Source organism: Homo sapiens, chromosome 21 (assembly GCF_000001405.40).
Source record: "Homo sapiens chromosome 21, GRCh38.p14 Primary Assembly".
Taxonomy (NCBI): domain Eukaryota; kingdom Metazoa; phylum Chordata; class Mammalia; order Primates; family Hominidae; genus Homo; species Homo sapiens.
The window spans coordinates 34,151,034-34,160,134 of record NC_000021.9 but is presented as its reverse complement, the minus strand read 5'-3'; the positions used below and the strand labels follow the sequence as shown (position 1 = coordinate 34,160,134).

Genomic DNA, 9,101 nt, shown 5'->3' with positions numbered 1-9,101 from the left:
AGCCCAAGCGACCGTGCTCTGCGGCACATTGCGGCCTTGGAGAGAACCATCAGCAATGGAGGAAATGGACTTCGCGTGTGATGTGAGGGGTTGACCGTACTTTGAATCTTGTATCCGTATCTGTTGTGTTGACAGCGTTCACACGGAGAGTTCTTTCAAACGTAAAATGTAATTCTGTTGGTCACAGGCAAAAAATCATCATGCTACATCTTTTTTTTTTCGACAATCAACTAGGGGGGCAGGGCGGGGGAGTATTCTTTTATGTGTTTCTTCCCCTATGCAATTCAAAATGCAAGGCGGTAGAATAATAAAATTAAATGCGCAATAATGGAAAAAACCGATTCCACTATAAAAAAGCTCTATTGCTCCATCTGAGAGAGAAGAAAGGGAGCTGGATAGTGTGTGCCTCTTCTCTTTCAAAACCAAACTGTAATCAAAAGCAAACAGGCTCAAAAACACAACAGATAAAACTGGAATTTGCAGCTGTGATCGAGAGACACAGAGTGAAGCAGCCCCCACACAAAGCGCGCAGCACACGGCGTTTTGTTTTATTCAGGAGACGCCTCTGAGAAGCTCAGGCCCCTCGAGTGGGGGCCCCAAGCCCTCCGCAGTGCAGACCAGCAGGCAGCTGAGTTTTGGACAGATTGGCAGCCCCAGGGCGGGAGACAGGAGTGGAGTTAAACCATCTGCAGATCGTCGACCACCAGCAAGATAAGCCCCGCAGGCACAGAAGCTGCAGGCACCGCTGTTGCATTCTATGGCTTGGGCAGGTGGGTCAGCTGCCCCGAGCTTTCACCAGCGGCGGGCGGGTGAGGCAGGGGAGGCCACTTCCTCCCTTTTTTCTTCCCGAGGAAAGCCTAACAGGAGATGTCCCTGCCCTACAAGCGGGTGTCTGAGGTTGCCCTCCCTGTGCCTTTGGGCTTGGGCGGCGAAGGCTGCGACCTCACTCAGGCACCCAGACCCTCTGGTGATGTCACCAGATAATTTTCACGGTGGATGGATGGGTCTCTCACGGCCTTCTCCATTCATGCCTCTCATCCTAGAAATCGTTTGGCTTGGTCCAAAATATTGGCCCTGGCCTGGCGCGGTGCCTCACGCCTGTACTCCCAGCACTTTGGAAGGCCGAGGTGGGCGGGATGGCTTGATCCCAGGAGTTCAAGACCAACTTGGGCAACGTGGTGAAACCCCGTTTCTACAAAAAAATTTTAAAATCAGCCAGGCGTGATGGCGGGTGCCTGTAGTCCCAGCTGCTTGGGAGGCTGAGGTGGGAGGATCACTTGAACCCAGGAGGTTGAGGCTGCAGTGAGCTGTGAACCTGCCACTGTACTCCAGCCTGGGCAACAGAGTCCTTGTCTCAAGAAAACAAAAAACAAAACAAAACAAAAAAACAGCTCTCTCCTAGACCCTCATTCCCTGTATAGATCTGCAACATGAACCCCCGCTATCCTGCACTCCTTCCCCCCATTCCGTTTAAAAGAGACTTTCACTGCCACCCTTTTCCCTCCCAGGGCCCCTCCACCCTCTGGCCATGCCTGGGGTCTGGGTCTCCCCCAGGCACTCCACTTCCCTCCAGACAGCCCAGAGCAGGTGCTATTGTTGCCACCCCAGGGCCTGTCACCATCAGGGAGGAGCTCAGCACCGCCACAGGCGGCTCCTTTGACTCCCAGCCACTCTCTGCCTTAACTCCTCTGCTCCAATGAGCTTCCCGTCCCACTTCAGCCACCTTCTCCCGCAACCACACCAGAACTTGTCTCTCCCTGAATTCCTTCCCCTCTGAAATCTGATTCTCCAGTTCGACCCTGGCATCCACCAGGGCTCTTGTTTCAGAACCCCAGTCACGACAGCAGCCAGAATTCCCTCCTTCCAGGCCGGGCGCGGTGGCTCACACCTGTAATCCCAGCACTTTGGGAGGCCAAGGTGGGTGGATCACCTGAGATCAGGAGTTTGAGACCAGCCTGGCCAACATGGCAAAACCCTATCTCTACTAAAAATACAAAAATTAGCCAGGCATGGTGACAGGTGCCTGTAATCCCAGCTACTCAGGAGGCTGAGACATAAAAATCACTTGAACTCAGGAGGTGGAAGGTGCAGTGAGCTGAGATCACGCCACTGCACTCCAGCCTGGGCAGCAGAGCGAGATTCTGTCTCACAAAAAAAAAAAAAAAAGAATTCCCTCTTTCCCACCCTGGCTTCCCAGGGTGGCTTCACCCACAACCCACCAGGCAGACCTTGCTTAGTTAGCTGTTAAGGTTGGAAAAAAAATCCAATTAGCTCTTGCTCACCAAGGGATTAACTATTCATGGGTCACCTGAGAACTGATTCATCTTCCTGCTTCAAGGAATGACCATATATTCATCTTAGGCAGAGGAGAATCAATGTCACACTCTTAAAGTTATTGCCCTAATGTCTCCTCTCCTTCCTGTCAAAGTACTGAGTTTCAAAATCTAAACACATGACTCTCACACAAATATAAAATGAACATTGAACTCATTAATGAGCAAGCCAAGAGGATAGTAAAGAGGAATCAAAGAGCATTTGTGGAATTCATCAGCATTTAAGAACAAAACAGAATGCGAGAAGGACTGCTAGGTTAGATATAAAACCGGGCCAGGCACGGTGGCTCACATCTGTAATCCCAGCACTTTGGGAGGCTGACGTGGGTGGATCACTTAAGCCTGGGAGTTCAAGACCAGCCTGGGAAGCATGGGAAAACCCCGTCTCTACCGAAAACAAAAACAAAAACAAAAAAAAACAACAACAACAACAAAAATTAGCTGGGTGTAGGTGGCAAGCAGCCTTGGGCCCTAACTACTTGGGATGCTGAGTGGTGACAATCACTTGAGCCTGGGAGGTCAAGGCTGGAGTGAACTATGATTGCACCACTGCACTCCAGCCTGGGTGATAGAGCAAAGCCATGATTCAAACAGGCGTGCACACACACACACACACACACACACACACAAACTGGTTAATGTCCTACACAGGAATAAGACTACAACCTTTCTGGTTATCTTTTCTTGGAAACAGAAATTGACAAGTTACGTGTGACTTCACTGTGTTTGGGCTTATCACCTAGTAAACGGTAAAGTTAAACACAGGTATATTCTCCCTCAAAACAACTCCTGGCTCAGCCTGTCACACAGTGTCCCAGCACAACATTGAGAGGACATGCCCCTTTCCACTTTGCCTTAGTTCTAAGTTTTGGATAATTTTTCTTAATAATTCCTCAAGAGACAAAATTCTAAACTAGTTATCTCAAAATCCCCAAACATTCCTTTCTGAACATAAAAAAAAAAAAGAAAACCATAAGTGCATTACTCACACCTCATCGGGATTTTTTTTTTATTTTTTTTGAGACGTGAGACAGAGTCTCACTCTGACACCCAGGCTGGAGTGCAGTGGCACCATCTCGGCTCACTGCAACCTCCGCCTCTCGGGTTCACACCATTCTCCTGCCTCAGCCTCCCGAGTAGCTGGAACTACAGGCACCCGCCACCACGCCTGGCTAATTTTTTTTTTTTTTTTGTACTTTTAGTAGAGACGGGGTTTCACAGTGTTAGCAAAGATGGTCTCGATCTCCTGGTCTTGTGATCCGCCCGCCTCGGCCTCCCAAAGTGCTGGGATTACAGGTGTGAGCCACTGCACCCGGTCCCCATCAGGTACTTGATGACCAAAAAGTGACTGTTGCCCGGTAGGATCTCAGACATGGCCCGGCAGTAGAAATGGTATTTTGGCAGCCCTCCAATTACACAGATGGCCACCAGCTCTCCTAGGACTGGGCCTGGCCAAAAACAGACACTGAGTTCCAGGACAGGTCATTCAGGAATGGATTAGGTATGTTTACACCTTCATGAAGATATCATAGGATTGGAACTTGAAGGAAGCTTCTGGCCAGCCTGCCTCAGGAAAATATCCCCTAGATCTTCTATGACAGATGGTGTTTCCTCTTTTGAGTCCTCCTAGACTGAGGGAGCCCAGTGTTCATCAATAGCCAGTGTTTCATCAGCCTCCCTGGCAGGGATCACTCTTAAGCTCTCTCTTTATGAATTTAGGGCCATTTCTTCTTGTTCTGTCCCCTATGAAAATGGCTAACAATTGATCAGTGTCTTCACCTAAAACCTCTTGACTAACTTAAAGACCATTTTTAAGCCATCATTTTCTGTTAGGCTAAATAATCCAAACTGTTATCATTTTAATTCTATTATTAGTTGTGCTTTGCTGAGAATCTCTCAGGTCAGGTCTCTTCTAAGAACAGAAAGAACATAATAAGGCCCCAGGGACAATGACTTCGCAAACCAGGTTGATGATCTTCCAAATCAAATTGGCTTTCTCTAAATAAAAGCCTGGCATTTCTCTCATGTTTAACAACCTAGGGAAGTTTGCTGTGATTACCCTTTAGGTTGTTTCTTATATTATTTTGCTAGTCCTGTCTTTCTTGATTGTTACTGGTAATTTTTCTAACGGGTTTTTTAACACAGCATCCTTGGTTTTAAAAATTAGGAATTGGAGTTAAAAAGAAGAAAATAAAGTCCTCGTCATCACACTCAGAGATAACAACAGCTCATATGTTGGTGCTCAGCATTTAAGTCTTTTTTCCCAGATAATTTTCTTTTCTTTTGAGATAGAGTTTTGCTCTTGCTGCCCAGGCTGGAGTGCAGTGGCGTGATCTCGGCTCACTGCAACCTCCGCCTCTCTGGGTTCGAGCAATTCTCATGCCTCCGCCTCCTGAGTAGCTGGGATTACAGGCGTGTGCCACCACGCCCAGCTAATTTTTGTATTTTTAGTAGAGACAGGGCTTCACCATGTTGGCCAGGCTGGTCACAGACTCCTGATCTCAGGTGATCCACCCGCCTCAGCCTCCCAAAATGCTGGAATTAGAGGCGTGAGCCAATATGCCCTGCCAGTTTTCTTTTAAGAAGAGAACAGGCTGTACTGACATGCTCTGTAAGCTACTTTTTTCATATGGTAACATGGAACACGGGTGGACAACTAGTGCCCCACACCCTCCCCCAGCTCAGGGTGGCCTCACCCCCCACAGCATCTGACTGTCACCATTGCCACAAACCCAATTCAACACAAAAGCAGCTCCTACGTCAGAACCAGTCCTCGCAGCAGTTCAGATAGGCCTAGGAGGCAAAATGAAATGGATCTACCCACACTGATTCATTTACCTGAAGAGAATCAGCTCAGGAAGTGGGAGAACAACACAGCCACAAGCACGCAACAGTGCTCAGACAGGAAGGCTTGGGTTGAGATGTATATATACATTTTAATTTCTCAATTGACAAGTACAAATTGTATATATGTATGGTATACAACCTGATGTTCTGATACATGTGTATATCGTGGAATGGCTAAATCAAGCTATTTAACACATACATAACTCCCCATACTTTTTATGGTGAGAACACTTAACATCTACTCTCTTTGCAATTTTCAATATACAATATATTGACTCTAGTCACCATGCTGTATGACAGGTCTCTTGAGCTTCCTCCTTCTGTCTAACTAAAGTTTTGTGTACTTTGACCAATGTCTCCCCATTCTCCCCATTGACATAATTTTGAGCATGGAAATATCATTAGATTGGCACCAATTTGGAAGAAAACCAGCCAGCGTGAGGGTCATCTGCAAGGAAGGACTGGGTTGGCCCTAAGCACGCCATTCCAGGCCACCAAACTGCTCCTTCAGTTACCACACTGGTGCTCACATTAGGGCCCTGCCATAGGCAGCTTGGTCAACCCACTGTGGGGCACACAGCACCCCAAGGAAGGTCCCTTTGCGGGGCAAAGCGCGAGGCAGGCGAGTCCCGGGGACGTTGGGGCACTTTCGGGACAAAGCTTGGCTTCTCTTCGTTAAACCATTATTTCATTAAAGAGACTGAGAGGAAATGACAAGAATTGCAGCTAACTCTTTTGAGTTTTTTGTTTTGTTTGTTTGAGACAGAGTTTCGCTCTGTTACCCAAGCTGGAGTGCAATGGCGCCATCTCGGCTCACTGCAACCTTCTCCATCTCCCGGGTTCAAGCGATTCTCCTGCCTCAGCCTCCCGAGTAGCTGGGATTGCAGGCGCATGCCACTACGCCCGGCTAATTTTTGTATTTTTAGTAGAGAGGGGTTTCAACATTTTGCCCAGGCTGGTTTCGAACTCCTGACCTCAAGTAATCCACCTGTCTTAGCCGCCCAAAGTTACAGGTGTGAGCCAGGGTGCCTGGCCTCTTTTTTTTCCAGGAAAAATCAAGTTTTTTGCTGGTGGGAATGACCATCAAACTGCATGACCATTTTGATGATGCAGCAGGGTGAGGGGAAGTTTGCGGAGCGAAGCCCCCAAGCAGGTCCGAGGGGACCGGACCTTGGGCACAGGAGATGGGAGCACCCCTCCCCTGACCCCCACCTCAATGAGACGCAGCATCAGGAACATTCCCCGGAGCGGGGCTGGAGGGTGCAGTCACAGACACAGAACAGCGGAAGTGGTTCAAACATTTGTGGAATATTTCTTCTGATTCCTCCATTTTTTCAGTAAAATAGGGAACAAAGCCAATTAGCAGAGGTAAAATGAGGGCCCAAAGGTACTGGAAGGTTGAGAAGGGAAAGAAGGACCTAGTTTCCTGGGAAGGTAGAGGTCTGGGGAGCCATGCTGCCCCCAGGAGCACCACAGGCCCCTGTGTGGTTGTGGTCATGAGACCAGTCAGCAGAGATATGCTTTTCCCCAGGCACATCCAGCCCATAGGTGCAGGCTGTGGTAGAGTCTGAGTATCATCAAGAGAGGCCTGGAGAGTTGGTTGCAGCAGTAGACTTGAAATTTAAGGAGGGTGAGGAGGGCAGTGAGGGCATGAGGAGAGACAATGGATAGCCAGTAGGATAAGTGGGGCCCTGTAGGGTTGAGGGAATGGGATTGGAGCCAGGGTATAAGAGGGAGTGAGCTAGGAGGGAAGAGCGGGATGTTTGAAATTAGGACTCTGAATAATGTCGTTTTTGGCAATGACAGGGCCTGAGGTGTAACCCGGGAGTGGGTGACTAATGTTAGATGGATGGCAGGGTGGTGGGGAGGAGACTGGGTAGCCAGGAGGCCAGGCTTTTGGAAAGGATCACCTAAGTCGCCTAGGGTCACGTGAGATTGGATTGGAGAGAGTAACAGTGGCTGGGAGCTGAAGCCTTCAAGGAACACAGGAGGTGGCCTGGGGAACCACAGATGACTGAACCCCCGATGGTTTAGCCCAATGGCATGAGATTGGGCAATGGTCTGGATGGGACAAAGAGGACTGAAGACGCCTGCTTTACCTCTAGGCCTCGTGGTAGAGAAAAGACCCACTCCTGAGAGGGCTACAGGGGAAGCAGAGGCTTCAAGGGGCCCCAGCTTCCACTGGAGCAACAAGCAGGAAATGTTTACAGAAGAGGTGGAGGTGATCAGAGACCACTGATGACTGTGAGTTCCAGGGGCCCTGAGAACAGGTTTCACGATTGGACAGGAAGTTGAGTCAAAGGAAGGAAGGTATGAAGCTGAGTGGAGATTGGGTCGCCAAGGGTGAGGGATCTTCTGGAGGGCCTGGGATTCTCATGGTGACTGTCATCAAGAATAAAGGGCATCGTAATATTAGTCCCAAAGTTCTCAAGGTAGAGAGCAGAACCAGGCTCTGGGGGTCAGGAGGTGGGAAGCAGGGGTCTATTGGGGGAAGCAGAAGTGCAAGAAGTATGGAGAATTCATGGTGGTGGTGGTCTTTTTTTTTTTTTTTTTTTTTGAGACAGAGTCTTGCTCTTGTCGCCCAGGCTGGAGTGCAGTGGCACAATCTCAGCTCACTGCAACCTCTGCCTCCTGGGTATAAGCAATTCTCCTGCCTCAGCCTCCCGAGTAGCTGGGATTACAGATGCCTGCCACCACACCTGGCTAATTTTTGTATTTTTTAGTAGAGACGGGGATTCACCACGTTGGCCAGGCTGGTCTAGAACTCCTGACCTCAGGTGATCAGCCCGCCTTGGCCTCCCAAAGTGCTAGGATTACAGGCAGGAGCCACCGCACCCGGCCTCATGGTAGTGGTCTTAAACCCTCTCCGAACTGCACTTTGTATAGCAAGCATTGCTTTTCTGTTTTCTTAGGTCAGAAAAATGACAAACAATCCAGGAAGGAAATCAGCAAATTATTATGTTTATAAAATATTATAAACAGGCAATTAACAGGGAGAAAAACTCAGAATGACCGTTCCCATGAAAGTTCATGCTTATTAATAATAGAGAAAATATAACTTTAAGAGACACTTGTTGACACTTATTAGACTGGCAAGGCTTTAAAAAACGTAATACCACATAGTGGGAGGTACTTGAAAACAGAAATCTTAAACCTTGCTGATGGGTGTGTAAACTGATGCAATGACTTTGGAGAGAAATTTGTTAATAACGGAGATGAAAATACTGAACAAACCAGTTCTTCCCTTCTCTAGCCAGCAGTTCTTCTCAGTTTGCACACTCACATATATGCGCCAGGAGATAGCTAACTAGCAGTAAGTCCATGGCAGCATTGCTTGAAACTGTCAAATTGGAAATGCCCATGAATAGGCAAGTGGACAAACTGGGATACAGTCACACATGGCATACTATATGACAGGAGAAATCAGTGAACTACGTCAACAAGCATCCACCTGATAGATCTCAAAATGAGTGCTGAAGAAATGAAAAACAAAAGCCTATCACTGAAGCTTGCATACCACGAATAAGAATCCACAAAACAATGAGTTGTAGCTGCATATATATGTATCAAAAATATAAAATATGGATATAAATGATACACACTGACTGATAATGGTTTGGGTCTGTGTCCCTGCCCAAATCTCATGCTGAATTGTAATCTCCAGTGTTGGAGAAGGGGCCTGGTGGGAGGTGACTGGATCATGGGGGCAGTTTCTGGTGGTTTAAGATCATCCCCCTAATTGTTGTCATGGCAATAGTGAGTGTTACTGTGAGATCTGGTTGTTTAAAAATGTATAGCCCCTCCCCACTTTCTCTCTTCCTTCTGCTCCAGCCATGTAAGACACACCTCCTTCCACTTCACCTTCTGCCATGATTGTAAGTTTCCTGAGGCCTCCCCCAAAAGCCGAGCAAATGCCGGCAC

The 9,101-nt window shown here is 48.1% G+C and overlaps 1 annotated feature.

The window, feature by feature from the left end:
- Positions 739 to 1,239: an enhancer, noted in NCBI's record as "H3K4me1 hESC enhancer chr21:35531196-35531696 (GRCh37/hg19 assembly coordinates)". NCBI's record gives its function as "activates a minimal SCP1, AML or CMV promoter by ChIP-STARR-seq in primed H9 embryonic stem cells {active_cell/tissue: H9 hESC(primed)}" and the evidence as "EXISTENCE:reporter gene assay evidence [ECO:0000049][PMID:30033119]".